This window comes from Homo sapiens, chromosome 18 (assembly GCF_000001405.40).
Source record: "Homo sapiens chromosome 18, GRCh38.p14 Primary Assembly".
NCBI lineage: Eukaryota > Metazoa > Chordata > Mammalia > Primates > Hominidae > Homo > Homo sapiens.
Genome location: NC_000018.10, coordinates 13,442,772 through 13,463,741, shown reverse-complemented (window position 1 = coordinate 13,463,741; position 20,970 = coordinate 13,442,772). Strand labels below are relative to the sequence as shown.

General features: G+C 49.9%; 1 protein-coding gene and 1 non-coding gene across 46 annotated transcripts in view, besides 5 other annotated features; both read right to left on the bottom strand.

Moving 5' to 3' along the window:
- The window catches only part of LDLRAD4 (low density lipoprotein receptor class A domain containing 4), a 435,073-nt gene that overhangs the window by 189,013 nt on the left and 225,090 nt on the right, over nucleotides 1-20,970 (bottom strand). The gene's annotated exons all lie outside the window — the stretch shown is intronic.
- Nucleotides 1,838-2,132: an enhancer, noted in NCBI's record as "tiled region #5399; K562 Activating DNase matched - State 10:DNaseD". NCBI's record gives its function as "activates a minimal TATA promoter and a strong SV40 promoter by Sharpr-MPRA in K562 cells {active_cell/tissue: K562}" and the evidence as "EXISTENCE:reporter gene assay evidence [ECO:0000049][PMID:27701403]".
- Nucleotides 3,716-3,795, bottom strand: MIR5190 (microRNA 5190). The gene has a single exon (NR_049822.1). It is a non-coding gene; the product is annotated as a microRNA 5190 (primary transcript).
- Nucleotides 7,501-8,146: an enhancer, noted in NCBI's record as "H3K4me1 hESC enhancer chr18:13455595-13456240 (GRCh37/hg19 assembly coordinates)". NCBI's record gives its function as "activates a minimal SCP1, AML or CMV promoter by ChIP-STARR-seq in naive H9 embryonic stem cells {active_cell/tissue: H9 hESC(naive)}" and the evidence as "EXISTENCE:reporter gene assay evidence [ECO:0000049][PMID:30033119]".
- Nucleotides 8,147-8,790: an enhancer, noted in NCBI's record as "H3K4me1 hESC enhancer chr18:13454951-13455594 (GRCh37/hg19 assembly coordinates)". NCBI's record gives its function as "activates a minimal SCP1, AML or CMV promoter by ChIP-STARR-seq in naive H9 embryonic stem cells {active_cell/tissue: H9 hESC(naive)}" and the evidence as "EXISTENCE:reporter gene assay evidence [ECO:0000049][PMID:30033119]".
- Nucleotides 16,011-16,714: an enhancer, noted in NCBI's record as "H3K27ac-H3K4me1 hESC enhancer chr18:13447027-13447730 (GRCh37/hg19 assembly coordinates)". NCBI's record gives its function as "activates a minimal SCP1, AML or CMV promoter by ChIP-STARR-seq in naive H9 embryonic stem cells {active_cell/tissue: H9 hESC(naive)}" and the evidence as "EXISTENCE:reporter gene assay evidence [ECO:0000049][PMID:30033119]".
- Nucleotides 16,715-17,418: an enhancer, noted in NCBI's record as "H3K27ac-H3K4me1 hESC enhancer chr18:13446323-13447026 (GRCh37/hg19 assembly coordinates)". NCBI's record gives its function as "activates a minimal SCP1, AML or CMV promoter by ChIP-STARR-seq in naive H9 embryonic stem cells {active_cell/tissue: H9 hESC(naive)}" and the evidence as "EXISTENCE:reporter gene assay evidence [ECO:0000049][PMID:30033119]".

The following is a 20,970-nucleotide window of genomic DNA, read 5'->3' as shown; positions in this document are numbered from 1 at the left end:
TGTGGGTGACACACAGGTCCTCATGCAGGGCTCTTTCTGTGAAGCCCCAAGGTGCTATACGCTGTTGGGTGACTGCCCTGTCACCTGCCGTTAGTTACTCAGAATTAGAAATAAGTATCAGAATCGTGTGAATGAGGTGAACACTAGATGATGTAAATTAAAGCCATCCAAAGGCGTGATGTATTCCTTGCCATCTCAAAAAAATGACAATTTGGGAGATGAGAATATGTGTTAACAACTGTTTTTAAGCCTGTTTGAGCACAAAAATAACAGAATGGAGCTATAGTGTTAACTTAGGGCAACGAAGGGAATGCAGAGAAGGCATCCTGTTCCCTTCGTCAGGCAGGTGCCCTGGGATGCCGGTGGGTTTGCTCTTCTGAACCCCAGGCTCAGGGGGCTGCACACCTCCAGGGAGGCGGGTGGGCAGGCAGCATGGCCTCCAAAAGAGGTACAGGAAGGGAATAGAGAAAAGGAGAACTGGGGGACAGGGAGGGAGCCTGGCAGCTGGTTGTCACCCATCCCATAAGGCCAACCTTTAGGAGTCCAGGGGGGACATGGCCACACCCAGGAAGAGCTCCCATTCCCTAGGTGCACACACACATCACGTGTGATTCTAGAAACCCGGTGTGGCATCTTCAGGGGTCACCAATTGTTTCGTGGAGATTCTTGGTCTCGGGCCCCCCAGCGGGACCACAGGTAGGAAAATGCTCTGCTTGCCCTGTAAGCCATCCCTGGCTGCTGCCCCTGGCAGTCGGGATCTGCCTTCAGCTTGCCCTAGAGAGCCCTGCAAAGGCCACCACAGCATGGCCACAGGTGTGTGAGGCTTCCAGGAACATCTCCGCGTGAGAGTATACTATCCTCACCGAGTCTAGGCCACGAGCTGCCCCCCACTGGAAAGGCTGAACCTCTCTGGCTACATTGTTGTAGAAAAGCTCCCAGGCGGGGCTCTGCTCAGGCTCTCTGCATTTCTGGGAGACATCCTTGCTGTCCCTGCTCCGCCCGTGACAGCCACCATGACTGAGCCCACACTGGCCTCCTGGACTCCCACCTTCCGCATTGATATACGCCTTTCTTGGGCGCTCTTCAAGGCTTGGCATAGAAGAATTTGTATCAGTTAAGGGAAGAAGATAAATGCTAATTCTGTAGCTCCCAGATTTCTTTTTTGGAATCATTAAAATCCAAAAAAATTAGTTCCAACTGCTTATTGAACAGTGCCTGTCTCACAGCCCTATGTAGAAGTCACCTCTCTTAGACCAAAGTTGGTATCTCATCCTGAAAACCAGCCCCCTACCTGGCTGTGTGGTCTGGAGAGTCACATTACCATGCACCCTGGCTTGACACCTGGATGCATCCCTGGCCCGTCCCCCTGTGGCCCCCAGTCTAGCGGTCAGCCTGCTCGTCTCAGCTCAGAGTAACTGCATGGACCCCTTGCTTCCCGGCCTTACTCCCACGGCCCTAGTCAGAACTGTTGCACACCTGGCCCCTGGTAACAGTGTTCTTTCTGTCCAGTGTAACCACAGTTGACAACACCACCTGCTTTTTTGAGGCCAGTGAAGAAGTCCACAAGTGCCTGCCTTGGTTCTGCTGTGCTTGCAGCTGTCACGGGATCTGAAGCCAGCCCACTGCTTTCACAGAATGAAGCTCCAGCTCATCCACCCAGGCAAGCAGTGACCCCATGAGGCAGGAGAATAGGATCTGGAGGAAGGGAACCTAAGGCCGATTCACACCGACTTCCTAGAACTAAATCAAAAGGAAAACCCCAACTTTCCATGCCCAAGTAACACAAGGACCAGAGGCTACTCCCTTGCAACCCTGCCCCCTCCCACTTTTTCTGTGTGGCAGATGAAAAATTGAAAGTACCTCTGACTGGACCCCTCCCACAACCAATCAGGCTGGTCAGGGGCCAAGTCTTGCATAGGAGTATAACTTTGTAACTTCACTTTAGCCTCTGATTGGTCACTTTCTGCAACCAATCAGACATTTGCATAGGGTGTAACTTTGTAACTTTGCTTCAGCCTCTGATTGGCCCCTTCCTGCAACCAATCAGACTGATCAAAGGCCACTAGTTAATTTACATAGGGTGTACACCAAGTAACCAATGGGAAACCGCTAGAGAGTCTTTAAAGCGGAGAAAATTCTGTAACCGGGCTCAGGAGCCGCTTGCTAGGGCATGCTACCACCCTGTGGAGTGTACTTTCGTTTTCAATAAATCTCTGCTTTTGTTGCTTTATTCTTTCCTTGCTTTGTTTGTGTGTTTTGTCTGATTATTTGTTCAAGATGCCAAGGACCAGGACACCCTCAACCAGTAACACACACTCTCCTTCTTCAATGACGTTTGTGTTCCTAGAATCCATTTTCCTCAGTCAGGTACGTGTCCCCATCCCCACGTCTTCCTCGCTCTTCTTGACCTTTGTTTACTATGTCCTCCTACTTCCCCCTGGTTCCCCCAGACTCTCAAAACCCATGCAGTCCCCAAGGCTATCGGTCCTCCTCAGGCCCTGGCCACGAAGACCCCTGCCTACCGATCTTCTGTACTAGCCCAGCACGCGTGGACACATTCATCTGCACGACAGACATCATGGGGCACCTTCTGTGAGCAGGCGCTGGGGAGACAAGGCCAGCCCGCCTCAGTTCCCACGGTACTCAAGAGACAGCAAGCCAGGCCACCCCAGCATGGTGAGGTGGGCACTGTGTTCACCAACAATAAAGGCGGACAAAGGTTGGTGCAGTGGGGGCTGCAGAAGGGCCCCGGCCATGCAGACGGCAGCATGGCAGGCTGTTCCAGGCACACAGAGGGCGGCATGGCAGGCAGTTCCAGGCAGAGCTGCCTACTACACCCCAGTGGGCTGATTCATTTGGTGTTGGAAGAAAAGGGGAGAACAATTTTATTTTTATTTTGCTCTTCAGCAAAATCTATAATTTTGTGTTTATCTTAGGAAGTTTATAATAGTATATGTATATAATATTAAAATAATTAAATACACATATAATAGGGATTATCCCCAAAATATTTTACCAAAGAGAGACACATGTTCCAAAAACTCAGGAGGTATGAACTGTCTGCCTTAAATACCCTCATCACTAATTGTCCTTTTTTGGTCTCTCTCAACAGCACTACCTTCTCATCAGATATGAAGAATTTTCTTTTTCTTTACTCAGCACCAAATCTCTTAGAAAATACAAAACAGACACATGGCTTCGTCAGATGACATGGGTCCACTCTAATGGACTGCTCTAAAACTATCAGTTAAGGACGGGTGCATGGCTCATGCCTGTAATCCCAGCACTTTGGGAGGCTGAGGCAGGAGGACTGCTTGTGCCCGGAGTTCCAGCTCAGCCTGGGCAAAACGGTGAGACCCCATCTCTACAAAAAACACAAAAATTAGCCAGGCATGGTGGCGTGTGCCTGTAGTTCCAGCTACTCAGGAGGCTGAGACAGAAGGATCCCTTGAGCCCAGAAGTTCAAAGATGCAGTGAATTGTGATAGCGCCACTGCACTCAAGCCTAGGCAAGAGAGTGAGGCCCTGTCTCTTAAAAAAAACAAAATAAAAGCTATGAATTTAGGAAAATAATGTTCATTAACTACTAGTTTCAAACATGTCCCTATTCTTATAATATACTGTATCCTTGCAAAGCACCTCTCCTTTGTGTTCCTCTTCAAAAGGAAGCTGGAGAAACTGCAGTGAAATGACAATGACCATGGCGTGACGACGTGGGGGCAGTGGCCCTGGCTCCAGCTCAGTCACTGGCTGTGGAACATTAACCATGTGACAGGGCTGGAGCCAGGGTATGACCTTGAGCGGAAACTTAGGGTATGCTTACCTTGAGTTTATGCACCTCTAACGATGAGACTAGGCTACGATTCATATACTTGCTGCTGATGTAAATATCCTGCACGTGCTCCTTAAAGCGCAAGCACTGCCTGAGAAAATGTAGACCTGGAAGGGTTTTCTTCTTTTTATTTAAGCAATATCTTTCTATAGACAAAGCCATATGTATCTCTTCCCTATTGCTGCTATAACAAGCTATACAAACTCAGTGGCTTAAAACACCGAATTTGACCGGGTGCGGTGGCTCACAGCTGTAATCCCAGCACTTTGGGAGGCTGAGGTGGGCAGATTACCTGAGGCCAGGAGTTTGAGACCAGCCTGGCCAACATGGTGAAACCCCATCTCTACAAAAAATACAAAAATGAGCCGGGCGTGGTTGCGGGCACCTATAATTCCAGCTACTTGGGAGACTGAGGCAAGAGAATGGCTTGAATCCAGGAGGTGGAGGTTGCAGTGAGCTGAGATCACACACTGCACTCCAGCCTGGGCGACAGAGTAAGACTCCATCTCAGGAAAACAAAAACAAAAAGAAAAAAAAAACACCAAATGTTATTTTTTAATTTTTCTTTCTTTTTCAGACTAAGTCTCAGTCTGTTACCAGGCTGGAGTGCAGTGGCACAATCATAGCTCACTGTAACCTCAAGCTCCTAGGCTCAAGTGATCCTCCTGCCTCAGCCTCCGGAGTAGCTGGCACCACAAGCATAACCTACCATGCCTGGCTTTTTTTTTTTTTTTTTTTTTTTTTTTTTTTTGGTGTAGAGATGGAGTCTCACTATGTTGCCCAAGCTGGTTTCGAACTCCTGGCCTCAAATGATTCTCCCACCTCGGCCTTCCAAAACCAAAGTGCTGAGATTACAGGCGTGAGCCACCACACCTGGCCTTAAAACACAAATTTGTTACTTTACAGTTCTACAGGTTGGGAATCCAAAACTAATTTCACTGGGTGAAAATCAAGGAGGTGGCAGAGCTGTGTTCCTTCCCAGAGCTCTAGGGGAGAATATTTGTTTGCCTTTTCCATCTTCTAGAAGCTGCCCACATTCCTTGGCTTGAGGCCCCTTCATCATCTGGAAAGCCAGCAATGGCAAGTCAAGTCCTTTTCACATGGCATGGCTCTGATCTCTCTTTGGTGGTCACCTCTGGTTCTGAGCACAGCTGGGAAAGAGTCTCTGTTTTTAGAGGACTCATGTCTCCAGGCCTGCCTGGATGGTCCAGGATAATTTCTGCAACTCAAGGTCCTTAGCCTTAGTCATATCTGTAAAGTCCCTTTTGCTAGTAAGGTAACATATTCACAGGTTCCAGGGATTAAGAAGTGGACACCTTTTGTTGGGGGGCATTATTCTGCCTACCACATCTTTCATGCAATTAGACAAAACAAACAAAACAAAGCAGTGAATGTTTCAAAATAGGCGCAGAGTTGCTCACATGAATAAATAATGCATAATTTTCACCTGGGCACATGCTTCAACCTGGCCCTGGCTCACAAGTCTGGTCAGGCAGGACACCCAGGATGGTGCTTGTGGAAAGATTTACGCACAGAAGACTCATTCCCCTTCCTCAGCCACAGAAGCAAAGTCAGGTGTGTACCACACCTGCTAACACATAGTGCTTCTAAAGCAGCGCGCCGCTCTACTTCTTAGTTGCTAAATTTGTTTTGCGTGAATGGCATTTTGAATCCTCATCACGCAGAGTCAGCAGAGTGGTGTAGACCCCTCCACGGCTCCTGCTCAGCATCAGCAGCAGGCTCCTCATCCGTGCTTCCCCATGCCCAGGCCCTGCGCGTTCTGCAGGCTGTAGTCTTGGTCCAGTTAGGAGACTTGCCTTTACCACACTTTTCAGCAAGAAATGAATTGGCCTACCGAACTCACCATTAGGAAAAGCAAAGAAGTCATGAGAACACGTATGAATGACCACCACCATGGTGCTGGGATACATCATTTTCCAAGACCATTCATGGACCTGTTCACTCCATAGGCAAACACTGATTAAGTATTTGCCACATCCCTGGGGCAGTGAAGGACAGGAAACTCCCTGAGCATGGTCCTGCCTTCATGGAGCTTACCACCACAAAGAGCAAGTCAGACCAGCACTGAAATAAGCACACTGCACAGGGGAGCGGGGGCCCAGGTAGCGAGGCAGGGGGAGCCGCCTTCACAGCAGAGGGCCCTGGGATGCTTGGGGAGGGCCTGTGAACCACGGGGAGAAGTGGTGGTGCCGTGATGTGGATCTATCTACAGGCTTTCCTCCACGGCACCTGGCTTGTGTACCCCACAGCCCTGTTACAGTCTTCTGTTAGAAGGTCGGGTGCGTCAGGCCTCAGGAAACAGAACTTCCCCAACCTTCTCCTGTCCTTTCTGTCCGCCTTTCAGCTGCCAGGCAAAACATCTCTCTCCTCCAGCCTTTCCTGTTGCTCATACGATCCTCCTCAGAGAAGGCCCCATCCCCACCAGCGGGGAAGAAAGCTGACATCAAGAAGCGCCCATAAAAATCCAAGAGGACAGGGTTCAGGGAGCTTCTGGATGGCGGAACATGCAGAGGCTCTTGGAGGGGGGTGCCCAGGGAGGGCACAGGACTCCACATCTTCCCCATGCCCTGCCCCACGCAGCCCTTCATCTGTGTCCTTTGCAATATCCTTGGAGCAAACTGGTAAATGTAAACATGTGTTTCCCTGAGTTCTGTGAGCACCCCCCAGCAAATTAATCAAACATAGCAAGGGGGTTGTGAGAACCCCAACCTGAAGCCAGTCGGTCAGAAATTCCTGAGGCCTGGACTTGCAACTGGAGTCTGAGGGGCAGCCTTGGGGACTGACCCCCCGGCCTGTGGAGCTGACACTACAGCAGGTGTCCACTGCTGGGCTGTGGGGAAGCCCCACACACTAGGCCACAGAAGTGTTCTTCTATGTGGATGACTGTTCTCTGCTCTCACACCAGAGGAAAAACACAGGGTGAGGGTTTTCCCCAGGCAGACAGAAATCCTGGGAGCTGAGAAAGGAGGTGAAGGAGGAGTGGAAGGAATTTTGGATAGCACTGTAAGCCACAGAATCTAGAAAAAACCACATATCCCAAGAAAAATGGGTGGCATTGTTCTGCTGACCTATGATTTACTGAGCCTGAAGCTGGGGCTCAAACCCGCACTGATAGCATACATTGGTTCATGTCTGCAAATATAATAGTTTCCCATTTCTATTTATATAAAATACCCTTTTAAAAAGCAAACTTATTATGAATACATGTGTATCTGATGGATTTGTGTGTATATGTGCATGCACATGGACCCTGCACTGGACATTCAGGGACCAAAAATAAACAAAACACAGACCCTCCCTTGGAGGGATTTACTCATAATCTAGTAAGAGAGAAGTCATTAAACACATAATTAAAATCCAACATGATGTGGGTTAGAGGAATCCAGGGGCAATACAGGAGCATCATAGAAAGAGAAAGAAAGGAAAGGCAACTGGCCACTGAGGCGTGGAGAGGGCCTGGATAGCGTGACGCACGCCCTTCACCAGAGCTGCCCAGGGAAACCCTGGCAAGGTGCACAGGGAGCAGGAGGGAAGGCGAGAGAGGGCACCCCGGTCAGGAAGGGGCACCCCCGTGTAGATGTGGCACGCTCAGGAAGGCAGGCAGACGGCGGGGGGACCATGCTAACACTCAGGCTCCCACTTTCAGGCAAAACGTGTACATGCTCCTCGTTCCCCACCACAGCCAGTCATTTTGGTAATTATTTATTCACACCTCAAACCACAGCACCTGACACCTGGAACTCTGCCCTGTTTCCTGCCTAGGAGTCCGTGACAAGATGTCCCTTAGTTCTTGGAAGATGTGTTCCTGCCACAGCAGTGACACATTCACTTCTCCTCCATATGCTGGGAGCCAAGCAAGGACACGTTTCCTAACAATGCAGACAGCGCGGGACATGGCGGGCGCTCCTGCCAGAAGTCCCGGCAGGACTTCTACATGGAATTCAGGGCAACCAGACTTCGGAAGCTGGGGCTCTGAGTAAAACAGACTAATAAACAGGCTTGTATTTTAAATGTTTGCTTTCTTCATAATCTTAAAAATATACAACTGCAATTTATCATCCATTTATCTTAGCACCACCAAGAGTTGCTCAATTGTATGTTAGATCACCAGAAATGGCACCCGGTGTGGGGCTGAATGCAGCTGAAGGGGAGGTTGCCAAGCCCCCGGATATCTTCCCTGGGGCTGTGTGGAAGGAGGAAGCCAGATGCACAGCTCTGCCCCAGCCACGGGGAGGACATGACTTGGCCCCCTCTCCACCTTCTGCCTGTATCTCAAGTGATCCGGCCCAGCTCATCAGAGGGAATGACGACCCACCCTCAGAGCCGTCCAGGCTGTGGGGGGATGCTGAGCTGCTCCTAGTGTCTCCTCTACCTGCTCAGCAGGAGCAGGTGCCCCTGCAGCCTCCAGCCTCTTCTCACCATGGCTACCCAAGGGCATCTCATGACCTTTACGGGCCTCATAGATGTCACATCAAACCCAGGAAAAAGCACCACATCCCACTTGAGACAATGAATTGCAGGTGACTATTTGACAAGCCATCACGTTTTGTCAACATTTAATTAAATGTGTGCATTTTAATTTGGCAGTTTTCGCTGCCTATCTTGGAAGCAGAATTTTTTTCAGGTCTGCAATATTTGCATAAGCCCCCAAAAAGCCTGGAAACCCCAGGCCTCCTGCCTAAGTGCCCACTGGGTAAAATGACCTGTCTGCCAGCCCAGCCTGAGGAACATCCCTGGTCCTGGTGCCAGGACACCTGGTGCCTCTCCCAGGCAGCACCTATGCCCCCTCCCCAGCCCCCAGCTCCTGCACATACAGGTGTCCAGCATCCACCAGCTTCGCCTCCCTTGGAGGGACACCCTTTGGACTGCCTAGCTCAGTGACATGTTTGCAGGGTTGTGATCATCCACTCAACAAACGCGGACTGAGCACCCACCAGGGCGCATGCCCTGCTCCCGCCGCAGGTGATCCAGCACTGTGCGCAGCCAAGTGGGATGCCTGATGAATGAACACATCAGGACCAAGGCTGCTGCTGAGGGCTTGGAGTGGTCTGATCTCCAAAGGCAACATGACATCCCACACATCCCCATTCATCAGGGACTGTCACAGCAACACAGTGCCTCTCTGCCCTCCAGCACCTTCTGGACCAGGCCAGCCCCTTTCCCAGCTCATCTGTGCCTGTGCCCAGACCTGTGGCTCAGGTGGATGGCCATCCCGGGCCAGGCATGTCCTGCTGCTACCCTCTCTGCAGAGACAGGCATCCTTCAGCGTGGACAAAGCCACCCACCTGTAAGCAGATAGCCTCTGGCTGCCTTGTCTACTCACTGAGTGTATGTTTCATCCGATGGATTTCCCCAAAGTAAGAGCACGAAAATAAGGAGTGAGGTGCCTGGCTAGTAATAAGGGCAAAGATGATGAAGAGAATGGAGTCATTTCCCAGGCCGACCCAGGAAGCAAATGGAAGACAGCACTGCAAGCCAGACACTCAAAATTCCATATTATTCACAACTTAATATAATGCACTTAAATCATCCCTTTAAATGTGGTATACTGGAATTCTTTCACAAATTTAGACAATGCATTTGGAACCCCTTTCTAGTGCTCAGAAACTCCAACTAGATAAACATTAACCACAAACAGGATAAAATCCAATTTATTTTCATCAAACGACTGCACCCTGTTATCATTGCTAACATTCCCTCCACGTGAACACTGAGTCTGCTTGCGCATCTAACAGTCAGACAAAAAGGGGTCTTATATCATCGCAGAGCCAGAAAGACAGCACACCTTATAAAGGAGGCAGGATGCCCCTTTTGGAGAACACCCCGGCAATAAACAAAACCACCATGAGAAGCTGGGTGTGCACGGCGCAGCCTCCGGCTCTGTCCCCGCAGTCGGCGGCAGCGCCGGAATGAACATCTGCAGTGTGAACACGGCGCCCATTAGCTCCCGCAGCCTGTTAGCATATTTTAATGCTGTGATCACAGCTTTCTATTTCCATCAAGGCGCCACGAGGTGCTAGACTCTGGATCACACATTGCGTCATTATTGTCCCCACTGAACAGATTACACAGCAGTACTGGGGACGGGGCTGGGAGGTAATGAGGGGCAACAGAGGGAAGGGCAGGTGGAGCACCGGGCGCCCTGCAGAGGATGGGTGGGCACTGCTCAGAGCTGGGGCTCTCATCTCAGCGGGGGCTCAAAGACATCGCATGCCCTGATCAACGTCTCTCTCAGACACCTGAAAATAATAACACTATTTACAAAGAAACACCTCTCTTGGCTAAATGTTCCATCTAATATTTATCTCATTAAAGTTAATAACAGAGGTCAAGTCACCATTTCAGAATGCTTTTTTTTTGCGTCACAAGTGACTCCAGGGATCAAACCTGCCTTCCTTGCCGGCAGCTGCGAAAAACCAGGCTTGAGGTGTTAATAAACCAAGGTCACTACGGAGTAGCGGAGCTGCTGACTCTTGATTTTAACTCATTCCTGTGATACAAAAAGTGCACAAATCCATTGTCATGTATGACACAAACAAGTTTCAGGGCTGGGCCTCCAAGAAAAACATCATGAAGGGTCCTGCTCCTTTCGAACCTCACACCCCAAGTTCACACACAGCAGGACACCAGTTCACGGGCCTCCTCATTTCCAAAACGCGAGCACGTGCACGCAACCACAGGCACACCAGGAGCAATGCAAAACAAAGTCCACCATCATCTGTTTTCAAAGGGCAAGATACCGGGGTCCTGCTTCTTTTAAAACGATGACTGTCCCTGTGATTCCTGCATTTCATTTGCACATGATGCAAATCCCGTGACCTCACGCTCGCTCATGTGCACCCCTGCGGTGCTCCCCATGCTGAGCAGAGCACAAGCCCATCTCTGTGCCCTTTCTCTCCCTGGTCATTTGCACTTGGAAAGCAGCATTCCATGTAGCATCCCCCGTGGTCCCCCTCACTTGCCCCAGGACGTTGCCTCTGGCCTTCCTGGAGGTTCTCGCTGGGGGTCACCCCTCAGGCTGAGGCTGGACTCATTGCCACTGACCTCCTTAATCCTAAGGAGGGGTCCGATGAGTTCTTATCACATATGGTTGTTCTAACAATTAAATGAGATGACTCAAGTAAAGCACTTAGCAATTAGTAAACACGCGACCTGGTGGAATTGTGGAGAGAAGTTCATACACGCAGAAAGCTCTTTTGAACACTGCAGAGCATGACCAAGATGCTGACTGTCAGGACTGCAGATCCCTCCTATGTCGGTATTTTTCCAACTCCCCAGCCCCAGGCTGACTCATAGCAGCAGCTCTGCCCAGGAGCAAGGACTCCCGCCTTCCTCCTTTCCAGCTTCAGAAGAGTCTCCTCCTGTGCACTGGAGTTCTTCCGTCCACATCTCCACTCTCTAGGCTCGATCCTACCCTCGCAGAGACTTGCTCACAGGGGTCCTCCTCTCTCTCTAGTGCACCCACCACCTTTGCTGAGCTATCCCTCTGCCAGGAGATAGCCCCAGACTCCTCCTCGCCCCCCTCCACGGCACCCAGTCTGCACCCGCTGCATCCTCCAAGCGCTGCAAGGAGGGTGGCCAGGAGCCGCCGCTGCCACCGTGAACCCCAAAACTGGGGACACCACACTGGGACCCTGCTGTGCCGGGCACACTCTGACTTCCCTCCCTATTCATCTCCTGCTGTGGCTTTCATGTGGATTCCTCCAAACCCTTTTTTACATAATCCCAAAGGCACAGCTACTGGGGACCTGCCCCTCTGACAGCCTTCCTAGCTAGGCCCAGTCCCTACTCTCAGGGGCACACGCCACGTTCACCATAGGCTGCCTACTCTGCAAGGGAGGGTCCTTCCGGGTGATTTCCTCCTGCCACCCTGACACTGCCTAACCTGACAAGTTGGTGTGAGGACAGGGTCTAGTGGAAGGAGAACTGTCCTAAGAAATGGGAAGCACTGCTAGGCTCTGAAAGTTTTTGTACTCTCTCCCCACCCCCAAAGTCATATGTTGAAATCCTAACCCCTGAGTGACAAGCTTAGGAGGTGAGACCTTTGGGAGGCATTCAGTCATGAAGGCAGAGCCCTCAGGATTGGGATTCATGCCCATGGGAAAGAGACCTCAGAGTGCTTCCTTCCCCTTCTGCCATGTAAGCACATAGCCAGAAGGCACGGTCTGTGAGCCTGGATGCAAGCCCTCGCCAGACACTGAGTCCGGCAGCACCTTGATCCTGGACTTCCCAGCCTCCAGACATGTAAGATGCACATTTTGATTGTTTATAAGCCATCCCATCTGTATTAGGCCATCTCTTGCATTGCTATAAAGGAATATCTGAGATTGGGTAATTTATAAAGAAAAGAGGCTTAATTGGCTCTGGGTTCTGCAGGCTACATAAGGAGGCATAGTGTTGACATCTGCTTCCAGGGAGCCTCAGGGAGCTTCCACTCATCATGCAAGGTAAAAGGGGACTGGTATCTCACACTGGGAAGCAGAAGCAAGGAGTGAGGGGGGAGGTGCCGTACACCTGAACAACCAGACCTTGTGAGAACTCACTCACTACCTCAAGGACAGCACCAAGCCACAAGGAATCCGTCCCCATGACCCAAACACCTCCCGCCTGGCCCCACCTCCAGCACTGGGGCTTACATCTCAACATGAGATTTGGAGGGGACAAATAGCCAAACCATATCACAGTCTATGGTATTTGGTAATAGTAGCCCAGACAGACTAGAAACATACATATTAGGACTTCTGCCAAAGACTATTTTTGTGACCTTGAAGTGGTCACGTAATCTCAGGCTTCAGTTTCCTTTCCTGAGTGCAGAACTAAACTAAGCCATCTCTAAGGACCTTCCGGCTATACAACAGCTTTGTGTCGTAGCCTCTCTTGCTCAAAAACCTTCAATGACTTCCTTCATGAAAGAGAATGAAAGCGATCTGGCCTGACATCCCTGGCTTTCTAGAATCTGACCCCACCTACCTTTCTAGTGGTGCTCCTCAAAGTCAGCCCTCCCCTCCCCGCAAGCTTCCATGACAAGCCTATGTGGCATCCCTGCCCAGGCGTCTCCCCACGACACTCCCCCTGAAGAGCAGGGGTTCTCCAGACCCTGCCAGCCCATGATGGTGGCCTCCCTGAGCACCCAGGCTTAGTAAGATGTTCCTTCTGTCCTGCATACTGGCACTGCAGATACGTGCCACAACTTTGTGGGCCTTCTCAAGGACACCACTTAGCACTGGACAGAACAAAGCTGGGAGGCAAAGCCTCCGTCTCACACACACTGCACCCTCCCATGTCACCTAGCCCCTGCAGCCCTGCACCTGCCCATAGAGCCCAGCCCATGCCTCTCACGCATTCAATACTCAGAAAAATACCTTCCATGAAGTATCCCAGAGATGGGATGTTTTGTATTACTCAGCATATAATTTTCCACAAGTGACTACCCCAAACATGTTTTCTCTATAACACCCTCCAGCCCCCTGTCCAGACATAATCTTTCAACAACTATTTCTCCTTCAACAACTTATGAAAACTAATCAGTCTTGGGATCTTGTGTGTTTTTTTGGGGGGGGGGGTGGGGGGAGAGAAGCTAACTGCACTGGCCCCAGGTCCTGTCATTTCCAGTTAACGTCTCCTAACATGAGAGCAGACACTGAACCAGAAGGGTGAGAGGAGGCAGCAGCCGCTGATCTAGAGGCCTCATGGGGCTTCAGTGGGAGGCACGGGTAGGCCTGGAAGGGCAGGGTCTCTGCCAGCCTTTTAAGGTCAGATTGGCATTTAAAATTCTGGGTTCATGCCAACCCCTCTCACCAAGGAAGAAACAATACTCAACACTTCTATCTCCAAAGCCTATGCAAATGGAAGAGCGAACTCTCTCGGTAATGTGTTCCTTTGGCTGTCCTTCCACAAAAAGTCACGTGAAGTCAAGACACGGGCTTACATCCCGTGATGGAAGGTCCATCATTTTGCTTGATTGGCTCAGCCACCACCCCGGCCCCATGACAGAGAGAGCGGTTGGGCCTGAACCCACCACCTGCCCAAACCCAGACAGGGAGAACAGCTGGCATGCAAGGGCCTGCGGCGGTACACCCTACCTGGAACCATAGCTGACCTTCCCCCAAGATCTAAGGGTAAAAGGCCTGAAGTGTAGCTCAAGTTCCTTTTTCTCTGAATTTTTAGAATAAAGCAAATAACAGATGCCCAACACCCTCCACTAACAATGAAGAGATAGATAAGGATGAAGGAGATAGCGCCATGGCAGAGCCATCCACAGCAGACAGCCTGGCTCAGGGGCCCTCTCCGGAACAGGTGCACGCCCGCAGGAAGACAGGGGCCTTTCTCAAGGAGGCAGGGCAATCTGAGATTCTCCTCTCCCAAGCACACGTATGAGCCTGGGGGTCACCCCACTGAGCCACCAGTCTCTGAAATGGGGAGATGCACTTTATGGTCCCAAGATTTTAAGTGTCACTTAGCACAAGGCTCCCCTTCCAGGCCTCATGGCTGGCAGGAGAAGTGCTGATGCCCACAGCCCAGCCCCCTGCCATGTGCCCCTTCCCTACAGGCCATCCCAGGGAATGAAAAGTTTCTGCCCTGAGTGGATGGTCCTGGTGTGAACAGCAAGCAAAGGGTCTAGGGCAAGAAGGTGCCCCTCTAAGGACAGCTGGACCTTCCGGAGGACCACGGCAATTTTTCTAGGAGCTGTCTGGAAAAAGGACAGACTCACTCGCTGCTCACTACTGCAAACTCCTGAAACAAGATTTCTTTCTTCCCTCTCCAGTGATTGTCTACTTTGAAAATATTTTTTATCTTTGATCTCTGTTTTCTTTCTGGGAAGGAAGCAAAAAATATCTTCTTTTCCCTCTGTTATTAGCTCTTGGGACAGAACAAGAATGGATGAAGGAGTGAAAAAATGATTACTGCAAAGTTTAGGTTGTTGGGGTTTCTTTCCCATGTTAAAGCTGCCATGACTGAAAGAGGCACCAGCCCAGAGGATGAATCCAGAAGTCCAGCCCTCGGAGGGTCACCCACCTCTGCAGTCCACGACGTATCTCATGGCAGCTTTAGACTTCAGCTTTATTTCTTCAGTTACTCAAAGATGGTCCCTTCCAAGTTTCACCGTAGTACCCTTTTGGATAATTTTTTTCAAGACCAAGACGTGATTAGCGGCCATCAAACCAAGCGACAAAGCACCTCCCAGCCGAACGGCAAGCTGCTGCGTCACCTCCCGCCTTATCGGTGGTCCCCCAGCCTCCGCCCCCCAATCTCATCTTTACCTCAATATCTCCTTCCCGACTCCCACCACACTTACACTGGGAGTCTTCATGAGCAGAAACTCACTTCTGACATCACATAAACTCCATCCCCGCCACTCAGAAAATAATTAGGAAGACAAGCATCACGACTACGCAGGCACCCAAGCGCAGCCAGGCAGGCGCTGGGGATTTTTTTACCCGCTTTCCTACAGCTCTGCCAGTTGTGGAGCTGCCCGGAAGAGACCCAGCATGAAGAAATTCGCAGAAATTCATAAAAAGAGAAAGCAAGCCTGGTAAGCCTCTAAAACCCTTGCAAATTAAGAGGCTAAATGAACAGTCAAGACCAACGGTTTCCACAAGAGCAGTGCTGAGTGTGTTAATATACACAATTAACGCAGGTCACCCCGCGGGCTGCATTCCCGTCTTAAGCACACACGACAACATCCTCCTTTTCACCCCAGCTCCTCTCCGGCCTTTGAAGCCTGGGTCTGAAATATATCATTCTGCATTCTGGGCAGTACGGCTTAAATCAATAGTGTTATCATCCTACAACTGTCCTTTCACGCTCTCCCTAATGCCTAATAATTGTCAAGTTTGCACTAAAATTGATCAGTAACAGCGGGCCTTTTCTCTTAGCACCCCCTCTCCCTACACCCTCCCGGCCACCCCTTGGCCTCCCCCAGGAAGCAGGATCACGTTGATTTCTATCTGGTTACAGGAGAGCTTGCCCTGACTTTCCCCAGTTACTTAAGCCGGCGTCTCATTGCGTGTCCTTAGAGACCAGGGCTTCGCTCAGGCAGAGAGCGTCTAGACAGTATTCATGACCCATCTGTCTGGCACGGCCCAGCGGATGGCAAACTCTATTAGAACTGAAACCATTTTTCCCTCCCCCTTCTCCCATCCCTCTTTCCCTTTGCGAAGCAGGAATCTGACACTGAAAATTACTATCATTGTTGCAATTCTCAAAATAGCACCGCCAGACTTTCATTAACATCCACGCTAGACTACTAAATATTTAAAGAAGTGGATAAATTTCATCTGAAGTGGGACAGCCCCGCACACATGAAAGCAGTAACAGAATCAAAATGTAAATCTAAGAGGTTGTTTTTATCCAAGTAAATTTAGTGTCACAGCAGGAGGAAATGATGCCTAAGGTTTATTAAAACTTACCCTCCCATTTGTTCTCCGCCTTTGTTTATTTGAAAAGGCAGAATTACCATTTAAGACCCTACACGATTTTAATTGATCAGAAAACCGTCTTGGAGAAACAAAGGCAGCCAACACAAGGGGCGGGACTGGGAGGGGAGGGTGTGAGGCTGCCAGCGCCTCCCTGGGGCTCATCCCACAGAACCGTTCAGGCAGAAGCGTGTTGCCAGTGACAGCCCCTGCAACTTGATCCCGTGGCGAACCCAGAGAGAGGCATATTGCCCTCCACATCTTGTTTTAAATACCACCTTGGGTCACTGTCACAGTCAGTAATTGCTTTGCCATAGATTCTTTAAGTCAAAAAAAAGGGGGGGCGGGCGGGGAGCCCTGTCCAAAGCACACAGGCTGCTCTGCACAACAGCCTGATTCATTGAACATGGCCTTGATGGAGGCCAGCCAGAATTAAGTCTGTGGAAACCCAGAGCCCCTCACCCCAGCCTCGCTCCAAGGTAACACCACAACCTGGAAGACCCCTGACCCACACCCCCTGCAGTCAGCAACGTCAACATGGGAAGTCCAATCTGCTGAATGCCAGAAGGCCCCCGAGGCAGGCCCCACCCCTCCCAGCACAGCTGGAGATGCTGAAGGAGCCAATGCGCTCAGACAAGAGTCAGAGGGAAACTGGGGATCAGAGGCTAAAAGCCCACATGTGGCTGAGGCGGGCTCTTGGCGCCCGCAGCAGGTGAAGCGGGGATGGTGATGGCAGAAACAGAGCCGCCCCCATGCTGAAGCCACGCTGCCTCTCGCCTCCCCAGGGCAGCTGTCATCATCTCCATCCTCCTGACAAGACAGTGAGTCAGAGAGGAGAGCTGGCTTCTGGGTCATACGAGTACTACCTGGACAGGACACAATCGAAGAAGGGATAGCTTATCAGTTTGTAGAGGAAATCCCAAGGAATCAACAGAATCAATGATCCCTGACACACAGGGGCTCTTAGGTTAATTTTTCATAATCTGTTTGAAAATCCAGCATGAAACCAAAAATCGTCAACTATGTATCAATTGAAAACAATCATCCTCTGTGGCCCTTCTGAACAGAAGACGGTTGGTTTGATCCCCACCACCCAAGCCCTTCAAGCCTTTTAAGAACTGATGAGTAAATCCCTATCTTACTGGAAAAATACCATGGGAGGGGAAAATAGCACCTCCAAAGACAAACAAAACCATGGCCTGAGTTCAACACCCCAGCAGCGGCACGCCTTGGCTGTGTGACTCTGAGTAAATCACCCCACCGCCCTGAGCGCTGCATTCTTATGACCTTTCTAGGGTGCTTTTGAGAGATGAATGAGATGATGCATGTAAACAGTGAGCACTCGGCAAACAGCAGCTCCCTTCCTACCTAATTCCAATCCCCAGGAAGCAGTGGACCCTCCAATAGATGATGCTTACTGAGCATGTACTGTGGGCCAGGTATTACTCTAATTGCCTGTCCTGCACTATTTCAGTAAATCCTCAGAACAACCCTTTGAAAGAGATACCAATATTATCCTCATTTTATAAATGAGAAAATCGAGGTACACAGAGGCTGAACAACTTGCCTAAAGCCACAGGCAGTGAGTGGTGGTGACTCCAGGTGACACACTCATGCACACATGCACCACACAGCCTCACCCTCACACACAGACACACACACTCATGCACATATGCACCAGAGACTCAACCTCACACACACACACACCCACACATGCACACACCCACACACATACATGCACCTACACATTCTCACACACACATGCATCACACACCCTCACCTACACACATACATGCACACACACGCAAACACACTCATGCACAAATGCATCAGACTCTCTCACACACACACGCACACACACTCATGAATACATGTACCATAGACCCTCACGCATACACACACACATGCACAAACACACACATAGACATGTACACAGATGCACTCTTATACACACACGTGCACATTCATGCACAAACGCACCACAGACTCACCCTCACACACATGGACATATTCATACACCTGCATACACACTCCACCCATGGCACACCCACGCATGCATGCACACACCACATGGAGTCACATGCATGCACACACCAGACTCACACACACTCTCTGACACCCACACACTTGTGCACACAACTACACATTCTCACACATACTTGTGCACAAATACCACACACAGTCCCACACACTCTGGCATACTCACATCTCATGCATACACACACAGACTCACACCTGCTCACACACTTACATGTCTTTAGGGCCGGCCAGAAGCACTCCACATTTCCTCTGTGCTTGGCAGGACTGGTCCTTCCTACACAGCAGATGGATATTTAGAGGCCAAAGGTCTGTCCCTCCAGGGCTGCAGCACTGGGAAGCCCTGACTGGTCACACGCACAGTAAAAGCCTATCACACTGCTGGTCCCAGAATAAATGCTTACCAGAGTAGGCTTCTACTTTGGTTGGTTTGGGTGTTTATGGCAGTCTAAACACACATGGGAAGGACAGGCAGTTTGTGGGCACCAGCCTTATGTAGTCTTTTCCTTTGTCTTCTCATGCAGGCTGCCAGCATCACGTGGATATTTTCAATCCCTGCTTCCACTTGCAAGGTACTAGGCCTTGCAAGCAAAAGCCTTTTTCATCCTCTGGTCAGGCTTGAGTTTTCTAAAATAATAATATTCATCCCTACACTCAGCAAATATTTACAGGGCCATGCCCCATATGCTACATGCGCCAGGCACCGTGGCAGGCACCAAGTCTACCACAGAGCCTCATGGGCACTGTTCACCTGGCAGCCATGCTCATAGGATGCTGGGAGGCAGCAGAGAAAGGATCAACAGTCTCCAGTCAACACTCTGAGTGTCCACTATGTGCAGCTGACCTTTGAACAATTTGGGGGTTGGGGCTGTGATCTCCGTGTGGTGGAAAATTTGTGTATAACTTTCAACTCCCCGAAAACTTAACTACTAATAGCCTACTGTTGACTGAAAGCCTTACCTATAACATAAGAAGTCGATTAACACACATTTTGTATGTCATATTTATGATATATTGCATTCTTACAATAAAGCAAGCTAGAGAAAAGAAAATGTTAAGAAAGATCATAAGGAAGAGAAGGGGAGAGGGCTTAGCCCCTGCACGCCTGGAGTTTAACCTGGAGTTAAACAGGTCATTGACAATCCCCAAATTCCAGATGCGACCTGGGAGTTGGCTATCCAAGTGTAGCAGAGGGGGTTCCTAAAAATGTTAAGTGTATACATCAAACATATTTCAATTCATCAGTTCATCATAACACACAGAGGAAATCTCAGTGGTCACCTGTGCAGAGTGACAGGGAACCCCCATCCTTAAGTTAATAAATCCTATATGATATACACTTCAGGGTAATCAAATCGTTGATGGGGAATTTCTCTTTATAGATGTATCCCCACTAATTACTTGAGAAAAAAGGACAGAATTTGGTTGACTGTTTTGCAACCCCAAATGCCTGACGGTATCACACAAGAAACCAGCAGACACAATGTGCTCCTGATGGAAGAGCTGTACCGAGGCGGTAGTTTCACACACACAGCGTTCACACCTGAGTCTCCCCAGACCTCTGCATTACCTACCACGTGGCAGGAATGGTGTGGGACAGAGAAGCACGTTCAGTGACTCCACAGGAAAGCAGCCAGCAAAATCCAGAGTACGGAAACTGCAGAACAAGCAAGCCAGACCCCTCCACCCAAAGTCACAAAAGGGAGAAGGGGGAGGAGGAGGAGGAGACGACGACGACGACGACAGGAAGAGGGAGGGAGGGGAAATAGATATGGAGGGATAACCTACAGAATCAGAGATCCTTCAAGAGCAAAGCGATCTACGATGCCTGGGGCTTCTTTGGATCCTGGTGCAAACAAATGATAAACAGAACAAACCGAAACACATGTTTATAACACAACTGGAGAAATATGAACTCGAAAAGGACATTTGGTGACTATTCTCTAATATAGAGAATTATGGTTAAGGTTTACTGCAATAATTATAGGGAAAAAATAGAAGCGTCTGGCATTTGCAAGCCCAGGTTATGCACAGGTTACCTATGTGGCTATGTGGTTATGAGCCTGATCCCCAAGTCCTCAATAAACAAAATGCTTGGGAGGTGGGAAGTTGCTGCCTTAAGGGAAGGAGGGCAGTCATAGCTTGGTGCCTACAGGTGACAAGTAGGATGCCAGTCTCTTTGGGAGAAAAAATGACGAAGGTGGGAAGAGCTGGTTTCGGAAGTAAAATAATCAGCTCAGATTTTAATAAGTTGGATTTTATTTTATTTGGTTGTTATTACCCTAAATGGCAATGGGAGGAAAAAGTTGCCTCCTGAAAAAGTCCTAAAGTCATAATCCTGGCATAACTGGGTGTACTTTATCAGCTCCAGTTCATTTAATTTGGGGTCAGTTTGATGAGGTCTCTATATAGAGAGAAGCAGCTTCCTCCCAACCCTCCAGTAGCAGGGGGAGCTGCTCCTCTCCCTGCTTTCCCCGAATCAGATTCTCTCAGTTAAGTGGAAATTCCACTGAAGCTCAAAGGGAAAGTTGTGGCTTCTTGTCGACGCTGACCTTACTCTTAAGGTCCAGTGGTGAGAATCCCTCAGCAGCGCTGGCTTCGGGGGTCTGTGCTCACCAAGGCTTTCGGAGGGCGTGGCACTTGCCAGGCTGCACAGACCACTCAA